This window comes from Homo sapiens, chromosome 15 (genome assembly GCF_000001405.40).
Source record: "Homo sapiens chromosome 15, GRCh38.p14 Primary Assembly".
Lineage (NCBI taxonomy): Eukaryota > Metazoa > Chordata > Mammalia > Primates > Hominidae > Homo > Homo sapiens.
The window spans coordinates 100,408,261-100,430,368 of NC_000015.10; the positions used below are offsets into that span (position 1 = coordinate 100,408,261).

Below are 22,108 nucleotides of genomic sequence, written 5' to 3' on the forward strand. Positions count from 1 at the left end.
GTACTTTTCTTCGTTTGGAAACTCATAATTCCAGGAAACCATGTCACTGACAGCAATGCTACTGATGACATTTGAGTTACCAGTTTAATACAGCTGTATCAGTCTGCACTTGTAGCCTCCATTCTTGGTGGCTCTACATGCAAGCACAGCACTGGCCAACTTCATGACATTTTCTAGCACAGTTATGCACACATTTCACACATGAAATGCATATTTTATCAGAATTTTAAAAACAGTTGTGGAATTATGTTGTTTTTTGAAATTATACTTATAAGTAAATTATATAACCTAGGAATTTAATTTCAGGCCAGTGAAGGAGTGTGGCTCCGATAGGATTGACAACTACTACCTTAGATGATGAATCAAGCTCAGAAGGGATCCCTCTGGATTTCCCTGCGGTAAGAGTTTATTAGATGGATGAATAGGATGGGTGCGTGTCATGCAAGCTTGAATGATATAAATTGGAAATCAATAAATCTCTCTTTATATTCAATTTTACCTTGTACAGTCCATCTTTCATATAACAGTAATAGCAATGACATTTAAAAGGCTTACCATGTGGCAGGCTCGGGACTAAACAGTTACATCAACAACATTTCCTCCTCACAGCCACAAGACATAGCAGCTATTCTCTTTATTTTAAAAGAGAGGAAACTGAGGCTCAGGGGGGTTAAGTAACTTTCACAACACCACACAGCTATGAAAGGTACACAGGATGAAAAGCCAGACTCTAAGCTTACACACCTTGAACAGCAATGCTCTACAGACCCTTGCTGGAGTAGGCTGCACAAATACTTGATGAGGCAGGACACCCAGGAGACTGGCAACCCAGGTCTATATGAGGTTGGCTCTTCGTATAAGAAAGTGCCTTCTCCCCTCCTTCTGAGCCAAGTGCCCCGTCTCGCTACATCTTCCATCCCTATTCTGACCTTGCCTCAGGTGCCATCAGTTCTGGCCTTTAGGTATAAATTTGAAATAATAAAAATTAATCCTAATAAATGATTGTTTCCTAGGTGAGACAAACACGGACATGTTCTACATTCTATTTCATTTTTAAAATGATGGTCTAGATCTATGAGATGGATTTGGCAACCTATTCATGATTTGCAACTCACAGTTTGAAAAACACTGGCTAAGGTATGCTAGAAAAATGAGGTTTTTCTAATCAGCTGAAATCAAAAGAGCTTAAAAAAAGTGCAGCCCACCACCCATATTCTGAGAAAAACCATATCGCAACTGCAGATTTTTTCCAGTAATTAAAACACTTCATAGAAATTAGAAACAAAATCAAGTATGCTCTAGGGGGAACAAGGCATCTACGTACTCACTAGAGGTCGAGCCTTGGTATTTTCTGAAACTCTACCTGTCTGCTTTGACTGAGTGCCAAGACTTTGCTCGCAAAATCAGCGTGAGTCCGTTTCTTTGAATCTACTGGCCTCTTATTGTGTTGCCCTTCCCATTTGCTCTCCACACACCAACACCCTGTAGGTTTTGTTACTGGGCTATTGGAACTTTTCTTAGGCAAATTGTTGGCCCTGACCCCTTTACAAATCATTAAAGGGTCAAGAAAACACACGCTTCAAGAAGGATCCAAAACCCTCTTTGAAGAGTGGAGGGGTGGACCTGGGTGTCAGCAGCCACAGGACTGTAATGATTTTGTGCGCAGTTCTTGCCCTGGCCGGAGCATACTGTGGCACACACGCCTGTCATCTGCCAGAGTGACTCCCCCTTGGGAAGGTTTTCCTACAGTAGCCGCCATTACAGAGCATATTGCTCTTCTGATAACCTAGCAAAGGTACCTAGTATTCCACTGAACTTTCTCCAAAAACAACCTGGGTGGTCTAGAATGTTATTAGCAATATTATTCACTCCACGTTGGAAGGGGATGGTCATGATTTTTGCGAGGTCTTTTAGAAGTCTCTGCCCCCAACGACTCCCTTTGGTTACACAAAACGACAGTGAAAAGAATGAGAGACAAGTTCCTAGCTTAATAGTGACCCGTTACTTGTCCTAACAGGGGCTATGGAACCCTCACATCACTCAACAGGACCAGTACTGACAAATATTATCAGCTTGGCACTCCAGCAGGCACAGGAGGCCTGCATTCAGTGGCTGTGGTTGAAATCACAGTCACTACAAAGGGAGACCTCGTTTAGTTTGAGAACATACAACACACCAGGAGAAACTGAAAACCCTGAAATTAGGACCAAAATGACCTTCCCCTGATTAAAGTTGGATCAAAGTCAAAGTTTTCCTTTGAAGGGTGTGTTCTAGGAGCAGAGGCATAGAGACGAACTGCCTCACATTCCAAGACTCACTCATTCAGAGCACTGGAGTGTCCCTAAAGCGATAGACGCACTTCCAACTTCTGCTTCTCCTTTTCTTTTGAGGGGCTCAGGAAAACCGATTGAACCTGTCATATCACATGGTAATTAACTTTGTCTGGTATCAAATTTTTTAGACACAGAATACCATTACCAAGACAACAGCCCTGACTTCCCACAGTCTAGAAGTGTCAAAGCATTGTCTAAAGTCCTTTTTAAATTTCTGTGGCAAAATGCACATAAGATTTACTATGTTAACCATCTTTAAGTGTGTTCAGTGGGATTAAATACATTCATAATTCTGTGTAATCATCACCATCCATTCCCATAGCTCTTTTCATCTTGTGAAACAGAAATTCTGTACCCATTAACAATAACTCCCCCACTTCTCCCCTTTCCCCAGCCTCTGGCAACCACCATTCCACTTTCTGTCTCTATGACTTTGTCAATTCTAAGTACCTCATATAAGTGGAATCACACAGTATATGTCTTCTTGTAATTGGCTTATTTCACTTTGCATAATGTCCTCAAGTTTCATTCATGTTGTAGCATGTGTCCAAATTTCCTTCGTTTTGTTTTCTGTTTTTTTTCTTTTGAGATGCAGTTTCATTCTCGTTGCCCAGGCTGGAGTGCAGTGGCACGATCTTGGCTCACTGCAACCTCGCCTCCCTGGTACAAGTGATTCTCCTGCCTCAGCCTCCCAAGTAGCTGGCGTTACAGGTGCCCACCACCATGCCCGGCTAATTTTTGTATTTTTAGTAGAGACGGGGTTTCACCATGTTGGCCAGGCTGGTCTTGAACTCCTGACCTCAGGTGATCCACCCGCCTCGGGCTCCCAAAGTGTTGGGATTACAGACGTGAGCCACCGTGCCTGGCCAAATTTCCTTCCTTTTAAAGGCTGAATAATATTCCATGGTGTGCATATATCACATATTGTTTATCCAATTGTCTCTCAATGGTCGCTGGATTGCTTCTATATTTTAGTGATTGTGAATAATGCTGCTACGAATATCAACACAGATATTGAAAACAGGACAATATCTGTGTCCCTGCTTTCAATTCTTTTAGATATATATCCAGAAGTGGAATTGCTGGATCATGTGGTTAAGCCTATGTTTAACTTTTTGTAGAACTACCATACTGTTTTCCACAGTGACTGTACCATTCAGCAGTTCCATCAACACTTGTTATGTTCGGTTTTTTTAATAGTAACCCTCCTAATAGCTGTGAGTGGTATCTCATTATAGTTTTGATTTGCGTTTCCCTAATGATTAGTTATGATGAGTATCTTTTCATGTGCTTATTGGCCATTCATGTATCTTCTTCAGAGAAAGGTCTATTCAAGTCCTTTGCCCAATTTTGAACCCAGGTCATTTGGAGTTTTGTTGCTGCTGAGTTTCAGAAGTTCTCAATACATTCAGTTTATGAATCCCTTATCAGATATATGATTTGCAAATATTTTCTCTCATTTTGTGGGTTACCTTTAACTCTGTTGATGGTGTCTTTTGATGCCCCAAAGTTTTAAATTTTCATGAAGTCAAATTTGCCCATTTTTTCATTTATTGTCTGTGCCTTTAGTGTCATATCCAATAAATTATTTGCCCTATGTTTTCTTCTATAGTTTTAGGTCTTTGCTTGAATTCAAGTTAATTTTTGTGTATGGTGTTAGGTAAGGGTCCAACTTCATTCTTTTGCATGTGGATATTCAGTTTTCCCAGCACCATTTGTCGAAAAGACTCCCCATTGAATGGTCTTGGCACCCTTATCAAAAATTATTTGACCATACATATGTGAGGGTTTATTTCTCTATTCTATACCATGGTCTTTATGTTTGTCTTTATGCCGGTACCACACTGTCTTGATTACTGAAGATTTGTAGTAAGTTTGGAAATCAGGAAGTTTGAGTACTTCAGCTTTGTTCTTTTTCAAATTTATAAGGGGTGCCCTAAAGTCTTTTAAGTCCTGTGAAGTTTGAATCCAAGTTGCTTAAAACATGACCTTAAGATCAGTTTAGCCATGGTTCCCTGATTTATAGAAGAAAAATAGAGCCAATTTTTGTAGCTGTTCCACGTATACAGAATACCTCTTCTTGAATTTCAGAGCCAGACACAAAAGTTGCTTTTTATACTCTCCCAACTAACCAGTGTAAAATAGAATATGTTCTATTTTTCACTAATTATTTCTTGCTACTATCAATGGATCTAATTCCTTAAGAGATGATTTCATTTTGTAAAAATCTGTGGCTTTTAAAATTAGCTTTTAAGAGAAAAATTAAGTTTTCATGTTAGACAGACTCCGGAGAGTATCTGGTCTGACATTCATTTTCCAGATGAGATGAAAGCTACAGGGCTCAGTCCCACCCTGTAGAGTGATACAGCTTAGTGGCAGCAGAGCCCAGATTATACCATGTGACTTTTGATAAAAATGCATAGATTTTTTTCATACTATCCATATAACCCAAAATAAATTAAAAATGTGCCAGACTGTGTGGTGATCAACAAATTGTGATGGATGCAGAAAATGATTTGATTATATCAACATAATTTGCATTGGGGATTAAAACTGTTGTTTAACATATTCTCCAAATTGCCATATTTTACATCCTTTAAAAACAGCTTTACATTCACAGCTTGAAAGTCCCACAACTCTAACCAGGCAAAGATCTGCAAAAACATTTTGAAAATAAAAATTCTCTGGGATTTTAAGTAAAGCAACATTCAAGGAATAATCATAGCAAGACAGAGGATTAAGCCCACAAAATTTGTATTAAAATTGAAATGAAGTTTGTTTCAAATCTTAATATTCAAGATACACAAAGAGCTCAAATAACTCATATGCACCATTAAGAAGGAAGAAACCGAATGTGATAGAAAAGCAGGCAAAGGACATGAACAGGCAATTTACAAAAAAGTCAACACAACTGACGACTATACTATACTATACTATACTATACTATACTATACTATACTATACTATATGCTCAATCTTAGTAATCAGTAAAATGCAAATTCAAATAATAAGATAAAATCTCATGTGCATTAACCTAGTAAATATTGAATAGTCTGATAATATTGTAAAAAAAGTTGGTGAGCATGTGGGGAAAAAGAAACACTCATACATTTGGTTAGAAAAATAGGTTGGCAGCATCTAGTAAATTTAACCTAACCACCAACCCCACAGAAATACAAGAAAAAAAAAAAAACCCTTACAGACTATTATAAACACCTCTATGCACATGAACTAGAAAACCTAGAAGAAATGGACACATTCCTGGAAACATATAACCTCCCAAAATTGAATCAGGAAGAAACTGAAATCATAAATAGACCAACAGCAAATTCTGAAATTGAAATAGTAATAGTAATAAAACACCTGCCAACCAGAAAAATACCTGGAACAGATGGATTCACAGCCAAATTCTACCAGATGTATGAAGAAGAGCTGGTACCAATCCTACTGAAACTATTCCAAAAAATCAAGGAGGAGGGACTTCTCCCAAACTCATTCTATGATGTCAGCATCATTCTGATACCAAAACCTGACAGAAACACCAGAGAATCAGAGAGCCAAATCATGAATGAACTGTCATTCACAATTGCTACAAAGAGAATAAAATATCTAGGAATATAGCTAACAAGGGATGTGAAGGCCCTCTTCAAGGAGAACTACAAACCACTCCTCAAGGAAATAAGAGAAAACACAAACAAATGGAAAAACATTCCATGTTCATGACAGGAAGAATCAATACCATGAAAATGGCCATACTGCCCAAAGTAATTTACAGATTCAATGCTATTCCCATTAAACTACCATTGACATTCTTCACAGAATTAGAAAAATCTACTTTAAATTTCATGTGGAACCAAAAAAGAGCCTATATAGCCAAGACAATCCTAAGCAAAAAGAACAAAGCTGGAGGAATCATGCTACCTGAGTTCAAGTTATACTACAAGGCTACAAAAACCAAAACAGCACGGTACTGGTACCAAAACAGGCATATAGACCAACAGAACAGAACAGAGACCTCAGAAATAATACCACACATCTACAACCATCTGATCTTTGACAAACCAGACAAAAACAAGCAGTGGGGAAAGGATTCCCTATTTAATAAATGGTGCTGGGAAAACTGGCCAGCCATATGCAAACTACTGAAACTGGACCCCTTCTTTACACCTTATACAAAAATTAACTAAAGATGGATTGAAGCCTTAAATGTAAAACCCAAAATGATTAAAAAAAAAAAACCCTGGAAGAAAACCTGGGCAATACCATTCAGGACATAGGCATGGGCAGACTTCATGACTAAGACACCAAAAGCAATTGCAACAAAAGCCAAAATTGACAAATGGGATCTAATTAAACTAAAGAGCTTCTGCACAGCAAAAGAAACTATAACGAGAGTTAACAGGCAACCTACAGAATGGGAGAAAATTTTTGCAATCTACCCATCTGGCAAAGGGCTAATATCCAGAACCTACAATGAACTTAAACAAATTTACAAGAAAAAAACAAAAAGTGGGTAAAGGATATGAACAGACACTTCTCAAAAGAAGACATTTATGCATCCAACAAACATATGAGAAAAAGTTCAACATCACTGATCATTAGAGAACTGCAAATCAAAATCACAATGAGATACCATCTCACACCAGTCAGAATGGGGATTATTAAAAAGTCAAGAAGCAATAAATCCTGGTGAGGCTGTGGAGAAACAGGAATGCTTTTATACTGTTATTGGGAATGCAAATTAAACTTGCATTGGGAATGCAAGTTCAACCATTGTGGGAAACAGTGTGGCAATTCCTCAAAGAACTAGAACCAGAAATACCATTTGACCCACCAATCTCATTACTGGGCATATACCCAAAGAGATATAAATCATTCTACTATAAAGACACATGCACATGTATGTTTATTGTAGCACTCTTCACAATAGCAAAGAGTTGGAACACCCAAATGCCCATCAATGATAGATTAGATAAAGAAAATGTAGTACACATACACCATGGAATACTATGCAGTTATAAAAAGGAATGAGACCATGTCCTTTGTAGGGAATGGATGAAGCTGGAAGCCATCATCCTCAGCAAACTAACACAGGAACAGAAAACCAAACACTGCATGTTCTCACTCATAAGTGAGAGTTGAACAATGAGAACACACGGACATAGGGAGGTGAAAAACACACACCAGGGCCTGTCGGGGGGCAGGGAGTGAGGGAGGGGAGGGAGCATTCGGACAAATACCTAATGTATGTGGGGCTTAAAACTGAGATAATGGGTTGATAGGTGCAGCAAACCACCATGACACACATATACCTATGTAGCAAACCTACATGTTCTGCATCTGTATCCTGCAACTTGAAGTAAAACAAAAACACCACTGGAAAAAAATCACAGATGACAAAAACAAATGGAAAAATGTTCCATATTCATGGATAGGAAAAGTCAATATTGTTAAAATGGCCATACTACCCAAAGCAACTTATAGATTCAATACCATTCTTATCAAACTACCAATGTAATTTTTCACAGAATTAGAAAAATTATAAAATTCATACAGAACCAAAAAAGAGCCCCCAAATAGCCAAAGTAATCCTAAGCAAAATGAACAAAGCCAGAGGCATCACACTTCCTGAGTTCAAACTACACTGTAAGGCTACAGAACCCAAACAGAATGGTACTGGTACAAAAGCAGACACAGAAACAATGGAACAGATTAAAGAGCCAGAAATAAGGGGGCACACTCACAACCATCTGACCTTCAACAAAGTTGACAAAAACAAGCGATGGGGAGCAGACTCCCTATTCAGTAAACAGTGCTGGGATAGCTGGCAAGCTACAGAATGGGAGTAAATATTTGCAAACTGTGTATTAGTCCGTTTTCACACTGCTATAACGATACTACCCAAGACTGGGTAATTTGTAAAGGAAAGAAGTTTAATTGACTCATAGTTCCACATGGCTGGGGAGGCCTCAGGAAACTTACAATCGTGGCATAAGGAGAAGCAAGGACCTTCTTCACATGGCAGCAGGAGAGAGAAGAGTGAGCAATAAAGGAGGAAGAGCCCCTTATAAAACCATCAGATCTCATGAGAACTCACTATCACGAGAACAGCATAGGGCAAACTGCTCCCATGGTCCAATCACTTCCCAACTGGTCCCTCCCTCAACATGTGGGGATTACGGGCATTACAATTTGAGATGAGATTTGAGTGAAGACACAGAGCCAGGATGAATCTGAAAAGGGTCTAATATCCAAAATCTATAAGGATTCTACAAATCAACAAGCAAAAAACAACCAACCACATTAAAAAACGGGCAAAAGACAAGAACAGATATTTCTCAAAAGAAAACGTACATGCAGCCAACAAGCATATGAAAAAATATTCAAAATCACTAATAATTACAGAAATGCAAATCAAAACTGCCAAGAGATACCATTTCACACCAGTCAGAACGGCTATGAATAAAAAGAAAATAGTGGAGGAGCCAAGATGTCCGAATAGGAACAGCTCTGGTCTACAGCTCCCAGCGTGAGCGACGCAGAAGATGGGTGATTTCTGCATTTCCATCTGAGGTACCAGGTTCATCTCACTAGGGAGTGCCAGACAGTGGGCGCAGGTCAGTGGGTGCGTGCACCGTGCGTGAGCCGAAGCAGGGCGAGGCATTGCCTCACTTGGGAAGAGCAAGGGGTCGGGGAGTTCCCTTTCCGAGTCAAAGAAAGGGGTGACGGACGCACCTGGAAAATCGGGTCACTCCCACCCTAATACTGCGCTTTTCCGACGGGCTTAAAAAATGGCGCACCACGAGATTATATCCCACACCTGGCTCTGAGGGTCCTACCCCACGGAGTCTCGCTGATTGCTAGCACAGCAGTCTGAGATCAAACTGCAAGGCAGCAGCGAGGCTGGGGGAGGGGCGCCCGCCATTGCCCAGGCTTGCTTAGGTAAATAAAGCAGCCTGGAAGCTCGAACTGGGTGGAGCCCACCACAGCTCAAGGAGGCCTGCCTGCCTCTGTAGGCTCCACCTCTGGGGGCAGGGCACAGCCAAACAAAAAGACAGCAGTAACCTCTGCAGACTTAAATGTCCCTGTCTGACAGCTTTGAAGAGAGCAGTGGTTCTCCCAGCACGCAGCTGGAGATCTGAGAACGGGCAGACTGCCTCCTCAAGTAGGTCCCTGACCCCTGACCCCTGGGCAGCCTAACTGAGAGGCACCCCCCAGCAAGGGCACACTGACACCTCACACAGCAGGGTATTCCAACAGACCTGCAGCTGAGGGTCCTCTCTGTTAGAAGGAAAACTAACAAACAGAAAGGACATCCACACCGAAAACCCATCTGTACATCACCATCATCAAAGACCAAAAGTAGATAAAACCACAAAGATGGGGAAAAAACAGAACACAAAAACTGGAAACTCTAAAACGCAGAGCACCTCTCCTCCTCCAAAGGAATGCAGTTCCTCACCAGCAACGGAACAAAGCTGGATGGAGAATGACTTTGACGAGCTGAGAGAAGAAGGCTTCAGACGATCAAATTACTCTGAGCTACGGGAGGACATTCAAACCAAAGGCAAAGAAGTTGAAAACTTTGAAAAAAATTTAGAAGAATGTGTAACTAGAATAACCAATACAGAGAAGGGCTTAAAGGAGCTGATGGAGCTGAAAACCAAGGCCCGAGAACTACGTGAAGAATGCAGAAGCCTCAGAAGCCGATGCGATCAACTGGAAGAAAGGGTATCAGGGATGGAAGATGAAATGAATGAAATGAAGCGAGAAGGGAAGTTTAGAGAAAAAAGAATAAAAAGAAATGAGCAAAGCCTCCAAGAAATATGGGACTATGTGAAAAGACCAAATCTACGTCTGATTGGTGTACCTGAAAGTGATGGGGAAAATGGAACCAAGTTGGAAAACACTCTGCAGGATATTATCCAGGAGAACTTCCCCAATCTAGCAAGGCAGGCCAACGTTCAGATTCAGGAAATACAGAGAACGCCACAAAGATACTCCTCGAGAAGAGCAACTCCAAGACACATAACTGTCAGATTCACCAAAGTTGAAATCAAGGAAAAAATGTTAAGGGCAGCCAGAGAGAAAGGTCGGGTTACCCTCAAAGGGAAGCCCATCAGACTAACAGCAGATCTCTCGGCAGAAACCCTACAAGCCAGAAGAGAGTGGGGGCCAATATTCAACATTCTTAAAGAAAAGAATTTTCAACCCAGAATTTCATATCCAGCCAAACTAAGCTTCATAAGTGAAGGAGAAATAAAATACTATACAGACAAGCAAATGCTGAGAGATTTTGTCACCACCAGGCCTGCCTTACAAGAGCTCCTGAAGGAAGCACTAAACATGGAAAGGAACAACCAGTACCAGCCACTGCAAAATCGTGCCAAATTGTAAAGACCATCGAGACTAGGAAGAAACTGCATCAACTAACGAGCAAAATCACCAGCTAACATCATAATGACAGGATCAAATTCACACATAACAATACTAACTTTAAATGTAAATGGACTAAATGCTCCAATTAAAAGACACAGACTGGCAAATTGGATAAAGAGTCAAGACCCATCAGTGTGCTATATTCAGGAAACCCATCTCACGTGCAGAGACACACATAGGCTCAAAATAAAAGGATGGAGGAAGATCTACCAAGCCAATGGAAAACAAAAAAAGGCAGGGGTTGCAATCCTAGTCTCTGATAAAACAGACTTTAAACCAACAAAGATCAAAAGAGACAAAGAAGGCCATTACATAATGGTAAAGGGATCAATTCAACAAGAAGAGCTAACTATCCTAAATATATATGCACCCAATACAGGAGCACCCAGATTCATAAAGCAAGTCCTGAGTGACCTACAAAGAGACTTAGACTCCCACACATTAATAATGGGAGACTTTAATACCCCACTGTCAACATTAGACAGATCAACGAGACAGAAAGTCAACAAGGATACCCAGGAATTGAACTCAGCTCTGCACCAAGCAGACCTAATAGACATCTACAGAACTCTCCACCCCAAATCAACAGAATATACATTTTTTTCAGCACCACACCACACCTATTCCAAAATTGAGCACATACTGGGAAGTAAAGCTCTCCTCAGCAAATGTAAAAGAATAGAAATTATAACAAACTATCTCTCAGACCACAGTGCAATCAAACTAGAACTCAGGATTAAGAATCTCACTCCAAACCACTCAACTACATGGAAACTGAACAACCTGCTCCTGAATGACTACTGGGTACATAACGAAATGAAGGCAGAAATAAAGATGTTCTTTGAAACCAACGAGAACAAAGACACAACATACCAGAATCTCTGGGACGCATTCAAAGCATGTGTAGAGGGAAATTTATAGCACTAAATGCCCACAAGAGAAAGCAGGAAAGATCCAAAATTGACACCCTAACATCACAATTAAAAGAACTAGAAAAGCAAGAGCAAACACATTCAAAAGCTAGCAGAAGGCAAGAAATAACTAAAATCAGAGCAGAACTGAAGGAAATAGAGACACAAAAACCCTTCAAAAAATTAATGAATCCAGGAGCTGGTTTTTTGAAAGGATCAACAAAATTGATAGACCGCTAGCAAGACTAATAAAGAAAAAAAGAGAGAAGAATCAAATAGACGCAATAAAAAATGATAAAGGGGATATCACCACCGATCCCACAGAAATACAAACTACCATCAGAGAATACTACAAACACCTCTACGCAAATAAACTAGAAAGTCTAGAAGAAATGGATAAATTCCTGGACACATAACACTCTCCCAAGACTAAACCAGGAAGAAGTTGAATCTCTGAATAGACCAATAACAGGATCTGAAATTGTGGCAATAATCAATAGCTTACCAACCAAAAAGTGTCCAGGACCAGATGGATTCACAGCTGAATTCTACCAGAGGTACAAGGAGGAACTGGTACCATTCCTTCTGAAACTATTCCAATCAATAGAAAAAGAGGGAATCCTCCCTAACTCATTTTATGAGGCCAGCATCATTCTAATACCAAAGCCAGGCAGAGACACAACAAAAAAAGAGAATTTTAGACCAATATCCTTGATGAACATTGATGCAAAAATCCTCAATAAAATACTGGCAAAACGAATCCAGCAGCACATCAAAAAGCTTATCCACCATGATCAAGTGGGCTTCATCTCTGGGATGCAAGGCTGGTTCAATATACGCAAATCAATAAATGTAATCCAGCATATAAACAGAACCAGAGACAAAAACCACATGATTGTCTCAATAGATGCAGAAAAAGCCTTTGACAAAATTCAACAACCCTTCATGCTAAAAACTCTCAATAAATTAGGTATTGATGGGACGTATTTCAAAATAATAAGAGCTATCTATGACAAACCCACAGCCAATATCATACTGAATGGGCAAAAACTGGAAGCATTCCCTTTGAAAACTGGCACAAGACAGGGATGCCCTCTCTCACCACTCCTATTCAACATAGTGTTGGAAGTTCTGGCCAGGGCAATTAGGCAGGAGAAGGAAATAAAGGGTATTCAATTAGGAAAAGAGGAAGTCAAATTGACCATGTTTGCAGACAACATGATTGTATATCTAGAAAACCCCATTGTCTCAGCCCAAAATCTCCTTAAGCTGATAAGCAACTTCAGCAAAGTCTCAGGATACAAAATCAATGTACAAAAATCACAAGCATTCTTATACACCAATAACAGACAAACAGAGAGCCAAATCATGAGTGAACTCCCATTCACAATTGCTTCAAAGAGAATCAAATACCTAGGAATCCAACTTACAAGGGATGTGAAGGACCTCTTCAAGGAGAACTACAAACCACTGCTCAAGGAAGTAAAAGAGGATACAAACAAATGGAAGAACATTCCATGCTCATGGGTAGGAAGAAACAATATCGTGAAAATGGCCACACTGCCCAAGGTAATTTATAGATTCAATGCCATCCCCATCAAGCTACCAATGACTTTCTTCACAGAATTGGAAAAAACTACTTTAAAGTTCATATGGAACCAAAAAAGAGCCCGCATCGCCAAGTCAATCCTAAGCCAAAAGAACAAAGCTGGAGGCATCATGCTACCTGACTTCAAACTATACGACAAGGCTACAGTAACCAAAACAGCATGGTACTGGTACCAAAACAGAGATATAGATCAATGTAACAGAACAGAGCCCTCAGAAATAATGCCGCGTATCTACAACTATCTGATCTTTGACAAACCTGAGAAAAACAAGCAATGGGGAAAGGATTCCCTATTTAATAAATGGTGGTGGGAAAACTGGCTAGCCATATGTAGAAAGCTGAAACTGGATCCCTTCCTTACACCTTATACAAAAATCAATTCAAGATGGATTAAAGACTTAAACGTTAGACCTAAAACCATAAAAACCCTAGAAGAAAACCTAGGCATTACCATTCAGGACATAGGCATGGGCAAGGACTTCATGTCTAAAACACCAAAAGCAATGGCAGCAAAAGCCAAAATTGACAAATGGGATCTAATTAAACTAAAGAGCTTCTGCACAGCAAAAGAAACTACCATCAGAGTGAACAGGCAACCTACAAAATGGGAGAAAATTTTCGCAACCTACTCATCTGACAAAGGGCTAATATCCAGAATCTACAATGAACTCAAACAAATTTACAAGAAAAAAACAAACAACCCCATCAAAAAGTGGGCGAAGGACATGAACAGACACTTCTCAAAAGAAGACATTTATGCAGCCAAAAAACACATGTAAAAATGCTCATCATCACTGGCCATCAGAGAAATGCAAATCAAAACCACAATGAGATACCATCTCACACCAGTTAGAATGGCGATCATTAAAAAGTCAGGAAACAACAGGTGCTGGAGAGGATGTGGAGAAATAGGAACACTTTTACACTGTTGGTGGGACTGTAAACTAGTTCAACCATTGTGGAAGTCAGTGTGGCGATTCCTCAGGGATCTAGAACTGGAAATACCATTTGACCCAGCCATCCCATTACTGGGTATATACCCAAAGGACTATAAATCATGCTGCTATAAAGACACATGCACACGTATGTTTATTGCGGCATTATTCACAATAGCAAAGACTTGGAACCAACCCAAATGTCCAACAATGATAGACTGGATTAAGAAAATGTGGCACATATACACCATGGAATACTATGCAGCCATAAAAAATGATGAGTTCATGTCCTTTGCAGGGACATGGATGAAATTGGAAATCATCATTCTCAGTAAACTATCGCAAGAACAAAAAACCAAACACCGCATATTCTCACTCACAGGTGGGAATTGAACAATGAGATCACATGGACACAGGAAGGGGAATATCACACTCTGGGGACTGTTGTGGGGTGGGGGGGAGGGGGGAGGGATAGTATCCGGAGATATACCTAATGCTAGATGACGAGTTAGTGGGTGCAGCACACCAGCATGGCACATGTATACATATGTAACTAACCTGCACATTGTGCACATGTACCCTAAAACTTAAAGTATAATAAAAAAAAAATGTTAAAAAAAAAAGAAAATAACAGATTTTGGCAATGTGATGGAGAAAAAGGAATGCTTATAAACTACTGGTGGGAATGTGAATTAGTTTGGCCACTGTGGAAAGCATTTTGGAGATTTCTCAAAGAACTTAAAACAGAACTTCCATTCAACCCAGCAATCCTATTACTGGGTATATACCCAAAGAAATATAAATTGTTCTACCAAAAAGACATATGCACTCATATGTTCATCATAGCACTATTCACAATAGCAAAAACATGGAATCAACCTAGGTGCCCATCAGTAGTGGACTGGATAAGGGAAATGTGGTACATATACACTGTGAAATGCTATACAGCCATAAAAAAGAACAAAATCATGTCCTTTGGAACAACATGGATGCAGCTGGAGGCCATTATCCCAAGTAAATTAATGCAGGAGCAGAAAACCAAGTACTGTATGTTCTCACTTACAACACACATGGACACAAAGAGGGGTACAACAGACACTAGGTCCTACTTGAGGGCGGAGGGTAGGGGAAAGGTGAGGATCAAAAAACTACCTATCAGGTACTATGCTCACTACCTGGGTGACAAAATCATTTGTACACCAAACCCCAGCAACATGCAATTTACCCAAGTAACAAACCTGTACATGTGCCCCCTGAACCTAAAACAAAAGTTGAAAAAGAGCTCCTCTTCCCCCTACTCCAGCCATGTAAGATGTGCCTGCTTCCTCTTCACCTTCCACCATGATTGAAAGTTTCCTGAGGCCTCCCCCACGATGTTACCTGTACAGCCTGCAGAACCATGAGTTAATTAAATTTTTTTCTCCATAAATTACTCAGTCTCATATTTCTTTCTTTCTTTTTTTTTTTTTTTGAGGTGGAGTTTTGCTCTTGTTGCCCAGGCTGGAGTGCAATGGCACCATCTCGGCTCACCACAACCTCCACCTCCCGAGTTTAAGTGATCCTCCTGCCTCAGCCTCTCAGGTAGCTTGGATTACAGGTATGCACCACCATGCTCAGCTAATTTTGTATTTCTAGTGGAGATGGGGTTTCTCCACGTTGGTCAGGCTGGTCTTGAACTCCTGACCTCAGGTGATTTGTCTGCCTTGGCCTCCCAAAGTGCTGGGATTACAGGTGTGAGCCACCATGCCTGGCCAGATATTTCTTTACAGCAGTGCCAGAACTGACTAATACAGAAACTTGGTACCAGCAGTGGGCCCTTGCTATAAAGATACCTGAAAATGTGAAAGCAGCTTTGAAACTGGGTAATGGGAAGAGGTTGGAACAGTTTAAAGGGCTCAGAAGATGACAGGAAAGTGAGGGAAAGTTTGGAATTTCCTAGAGACTTGTTGAATGGTTGTGACCAAAATGCTCATAGTGATAGGGACAGTGAAGTCCAAGCTGAGGAGGTCTCAGATGGAGATGAAGAACTTTCTGGGAACTGGAGTAAAGGTCACTCTTTCCTTGCTTTAGCAAAGAGACTGACTGGCATTATGCCCCTGCTCTAGGGATCTGTGGAATTTTGAACTTGAGTGAGATGATTTAGGGTATCTGGTAGAAGAAATTTTTAAGCAGCAATGCGTTCAAGAAGTGACCTGGCTGCTTATGACAGCATATGCTCATCTGCATGAACCAAGAGATGTTCTGAAACTGGAATTTATATTTAGAAGGGGAGCAGAGCACAAAAGTTTGCAAGAAAATTTGCAGCCTGACCATGTGGTAGAAAAGAAAAACCCACTTTCTGGGGAGGAATTCAAGCTGGCTGCAGAAATTTGCATAAAGAGGAGCTAAATGTTAATAGCCAAGACAATGGGGAAAAATGCCTCCAAGGCATTTTCCCAGCTGCTTTAGCTCCAGCCATGGCTAAAAGGGCCCCAGATATGTCTCAGGCCACTGTTCCAGAGGGTGCAAGCCAAAAACCTTGGCGGCTTCCATATAGTTAAGCCTGTGGGTGCACAGAGGGCAAGAGTGAGGCTTGGGAGCCTCCGCCTAGATTTCAGAGGATGTACGGAAATGCCTAGACATCCAGGCAGAAATCTGCCGAAGGGGTGGAGCACTCATGAAGAACCTCCACTAAGGCAGTGCAGAGGGGAAATGTAGGGCTGGAGCCCCCACACAGAGTTCCTACCAGGGCACTACTGAGTGGAGCTGCGAGAAGAGGGCCACAGTCCCCCAGACCCCAAAATGGTAGATTTATTGACAGCTTGCACTATGCACCCGGAAAAGCCACAGGCACGCAACACCAGCCCTTGAGAGCAGCCGCTGGTGATGTACACTGCAGAGCCACAGGGCCAGAGCTGCCCAGGGCCTTAGGAGCCCACCCCTAGTATCAGTGTCGTCTGAATGTGAGACATGGAGTCAAAGCAGATTATTTTGTAGCTATAAGATTTAATGACCCCCTGCTGGGCTTCAGACTTCCATGGGGCCTGTAGCCCACTTTGTTTTGGCTGATTTGTCCCTTTTGGAAAGGGAGTATTTACCCAATACCTATACCCCCATTGTGTCTTGGAACTAATTAATTGCTGTTTTATTTTACAGGCTCATAGGCAGAAGAGACTAGCTTGTTTCTGATAAGACTTTGGACTTTGGACTTTTGAGTTAATGCTAAAATGAGTTGAGACTTTGAGGGACTTTTGAGATGGGATAATTGTATTTTGCAATGTGAGAAGGACATGAGATGTGGGAGAGGTCAGGGGCAGAATGATATGGTTTGGGATTTGTGTCCCCACCTAAATCTCATGTTGACCGTAATTCTGAATGTTGGAGGAGGGGCCTGGTGGGAGGTGACTGGATCAAGGGGGTGGATTTACCCCTTGCTATTCTTGTGACAGTGAGTGAGTTCTTACGAGATCTGGTTGTTTAAAAGTGTGTAGCACCTCCCACTTCGCTCTCTTCCTCCTACTCCAGCCATGTAAGAAGTGCCTGCTTTCCCTTTGCCTTCTGCTATGATTGTTTCCTGAGGCCTCCCCAGTCATGTTACCTGTACAGCCTGCAGAACTGTGAGTCAATTAAACCTATTTTCTTTATTTTAAAAAAAGTTGAAAAAGAAAAAAAAGCTCATCAGCTATATACACATCAAAAATTTCATATTCAATTAATAAACTAAATGTTGCATAATAAAAAAATTAAAATGAGTTCCTTTGAGATAGTGAAAAATAAAAAATAAAATAAATTTGACCTAACAATTCCATTTATGGAGAAATTCACACACATGTTCACAAGGAGACATACATCAATATGAATAGTCTTATAATGAGTGAAAAAAGCTACACATTTATATATCAGCTCATATCACTTACATAAAGTTTTAAAATACAGAAAATAATACTCTAATGCCCGTAACTATATCCAGACATAATAAATATACAGAGGCATGAGAGGAAGGATACCAGCTTCAAGACAGTGGCCATCTCTGCAGGGAAAGAGAGGGAGAGAGAATAAAATGAGTAGGAATATACTGGAATATACCATCTGTCTTCTCTGGGTTCTCGTAGGTGATCTCATTTAGTACATAGTAGGCACTCTGGATATATGTGTTGAAAGAGTGAATGAATTAATCTAATACCATAGCATTAATTGAATACTGTATAACTGTAGATGACTCCCAAGTTTATATCCCCCGTGTGGGCCTCTTTCAGGCTTCAAACTCAAAAACTCAATAGCTAGAAAATCCCTCAGCTGTCTAACAGTCTTTAAACTCTAGTCTCCTCCCCTTAACACCACCTTTTTCTCTGGCCTTCCATAATTTAGCAAATGGTACTCCCACCCACTCAGTTGCTGAAAACAAAATCCTAAAAATTATCCCCAATCCCTGCCTTTTATGAGGTACTTCATTTCCAGCCTGTTACACTCAATTGGGTCCTTTGATACGGGTCCCTGCACTCTTCAGCTCTCCAAATGCTGTCTTCAGCAATGTCCAAGCTATATCAGATCTCTGTGGCCAGGCTCCAGATTCTGAGCTGACACGGGTTGGCAAGCCCACACCCGTGACCTCAGGGTAAGGGAACACAGTAGTCAGCCGAGGGGTGTGTGCCCCACTGGCTGGCCCTCCATGACACAGCTGCGTATGTTTTGGTCCTGAGAGACCTCTTCTGACATACGGTCCTCTGCAGCAGGCCTTGTGATGGCTACTTCAGATGGTTCCTGCTGGACAGCGCTGCATCCCTGTCTCGGAGGAGCGAAAGTGCTATTGTTGGCAAGAATTCCGAATAAGGAAAATTTTAAAAGTATCTCATCTGTGCTTCTCCAGGGATAAACAAAATATGACTTGTTCTTAGGCAATGCCAATCTATCAGCCCATATTAAGTGGAAATGAATAACATTATCATCTATTGGCCCATAGATGAGTGGCCATTACGTGAGGCTATTCTATACCAGAAATTCCCAACGGATGTGCCAGGAAAGGGTTAAAAGTTATGCTGAGACATTAATCCTCTCAGGCCTTGGGGTAGCAAGGCAGAGCCTGAAGCTACCAGAGCCCCAGGTGCCTGGATTACTTGTACTGTCTTCTCCTGCTTTGAGGCCCACCTCAGTTTACCCTTGTGTGCTGCACAAACATCAATCTCTCGGGTACGATGAAGTGATGAAGATTGGGAAGTACTGTCCCAGACTCTGACTACAAAGCCGAATGAAATTTTTCAATAGGTAGAAACTGTCATTCATTTTCTTCTAACAAGTCTTCCTCATAAATATGATGGCTTGAGCTAGAAACAAAAAGTTGTGTAGCTCAAACTCAGATTCTGTGCTTCCTGCCGAGAGACAGGTGAAGGTGGCCACCCCCAGGATGGGAACAGTTTTACTGAGTTAGACTCAGAAGGTAAAGAGGTCAGGTGGTGAAAAAAGCAATGAGAGAGCCACGTCACTAAGTGAATTAGAATGAATGAGGAACCACTGTTTGGCAGAGTCAAAACGGCCTCCCCTGGTGTGTCCTTCCCAGCCCTCATGGTACATAACAGTGAAGGAACTGAAGGTTATAGTGCAGAGTGCTATCAGAGTAAATGTTTTCTCAGATTGGGATTACAACTGACAAATTTGCTACAATCTCATTTTCTCCATCCATCAAAACTTTTCAATGCAGTTGCCTTATCTCAAAAGGAAATGGCTGGCAACTGTTTTCTTTCAAAACCATTATCATTTGAATAATTTTAAATGCCAATATTTCCATGTAAAGAAATACTAACCAGCTAATTTTGGAGAGCTTGGTTTCTCAAGGAATCATGTGTTTGGCTGTTCCTGCATAAATCAAAGTTTCCCCTGGATGAGAAGACACTGGCAGTGGGAAAGCAATGAATAATTTGGGAAAAACACCTTGCCACAAAGGACAATCAACCAAAAGACAGACAGTTCATTCATTCACCCCAAGGTTCACAACCTCGGCACTGTGGATATTTTGGGCCAGGTGATTCCGGGACCTTGCTGCCCATTGTGGGACGTCTAGCAGTAAGCACCTCCAGTTATCTGTATCATACTAGTGGCACCTCCCACTTGTGACAGACAAAAATGTCTCCACAGATTGTCAAATATCCTTGAAGGCCAAAACTGCTCCAGTTGAGAACCACCAGTTCAAAAAATCCTTTTAATACCCTGTGCCCTGTGCAAGACATTGGAGATATAATGGTCTGTTCTCAAATAACTTACAATCTATTGAAAGAACTGAATGCTACAGAATCAAACACACAATAAGAAATACATCGTTACAGGTTTGATGCATGTTAGGAAGTAGAGAATACTATGATATTTAAATAGAGGAATCTCACTTAGATGAGGCTGATGCCAGGAAGGCCTTAAGGAAATGAACTCAAGTTGTAACCTATAGTTTAACAGGAGTAGCCGGAGAAGAGTGGAATAAACCTTTCAAGAAGAAACAACGTGGGCAGAGGCCCTGCGATGTGAGAGCCTTGCATGCTCGGGGATTAGCAAGGACAGCACAGCTAATGAATGCTGAGAAAGGCAGGGCCTGACCCCAGGTGAGGCCTCAAATAAGCACAGATCAGATAATGAATTTCACAGGTCATGGTCAGAAATTCAAATTCATTTCTAAACCCAACTAGAAGCCACTTTATAGCACTGTTTTGGGTGTTTGCAGTGTATCAGTGAGAAAACAGACAAGGTGTTTGTCCTCAGTGAGCTTCTGCACCGGGGGAGCTGGTTTCTATAGCAGTGCTCTCTGCCACTGTGTGGAAATGGCTGGAAGGAGCCCAGCTGGCATACTTGGGAGGCCGAGGTCACAGTCCAGGAGGGAAACTCTGGAGGCTATCGGAGTAGCACTGCGATGTGGAAGGGGTATTACGTAAGAAACAGCAGTATCTGTAGACCTACAGGTTTGAAAGGGACCTTTAAGTGTCTTCTAATCCAGTTTCTATTTGATGGTGATAGGCTCTTTACAACAACCCTAGCAGAAGACGCACACCCCTGCCTGTGTCTCTGCAGTCATTCACTATCTGCTTCCTTTCATATTTGGGGCTGATCTCTGCCTCCCTGGAGCGCCCACGCATTCCTCCAAGTTCTACCCCTTTGTACCAGGCAAAAGAAGTCTGTGTACTCCCTTCAAACATTGGTTAATTTTCCAAACATTTAAAGATAATGAACTCCTCTTCCAGCTAAACATTCCCCCATCCTTCAGTTGATCCTCACATGACACAGCACGGAAAAGCTTCACCATCTGTGTTTCTTAAATAAACATACTTATCCACAGCCATCACCCCGTATTGTACAATATGTGTAACACAACCAGCATCACTCAATTAATACACAAATTCCCACCACTTTAATCTCCACCAAAAGAAAAGGTGAGCACAATAAATTTAAAGTCAAATCCGGATGTCTACACTTTTGGCTTTACTTTTGGTGTATTTTTTTTTATATATTTATATATATATATGCTTATACATAATTCACTTGGGCTTCATCTGTATTCCTCAAAAATGATTGCAAGAATGACCAAAAAAGCCGGGCGCGGTGGCTCACACCTGTAATCCCAGCACTTTGGGAGGCAGAGGTGGGCGGATCACGAGGTCAGGAGATCGAGACCATCCTGGCTAACACGGTGGAACCCTGTCTCTACTAAAAATACAAAAAGTTAGCCAGTTGTGGTGGGGGGCGCCTGTAGTCCCAGGTACTCGGGAGGCTGAGGCAGGAGAATGGCGTGAACCCGGGAGGCGGAGCTTGCAGTGAGCCGAGATCACGCCACTGCACTCCAGCCTGGACGACAGAGCGAGACTCCGTCTCAAAAAAAAAAAGAATGACCAAAAGAAAACAAAAACAAAAACAAAAAACTTGACAATG

General features: G+C 41.3%; 1 protein-coding gene and 1 long non-coding RNA gene across 10 annotated transcripts in view; one reads left to right on the plus strand and one right to left on the minus strand.

Annotated features, from left to right (window-relative positions):
- The window catches only part of CERS3-AS1 (CERS3 antisense RNA 1), a 64,976-nt gene that overhangs the window by 35,322 nt on the left and 7,546 nt on the right, over nt 1-22,108 (plus strand). The window contains exons 3-4 of the long non-coding RNA NR_120374.1: nt 307-398; nt 17,732-17,823. This is a non-coding gene — a long non-coding RNA (CERS3 antisense RNA 1). The remainder of the gene's footprint in view (nt 1-306; nt 399-17,731; nt 17,824-22,108) is intronic.
- The window catches only part of CERS3 (ceramide synthase 3), a 144,289-nt gene that overhangs the window by 7,866 nt on the left and 114,315 nt on the right, over nt 1-22,108 (minus strand). The window lies entirely within an intron of this gene.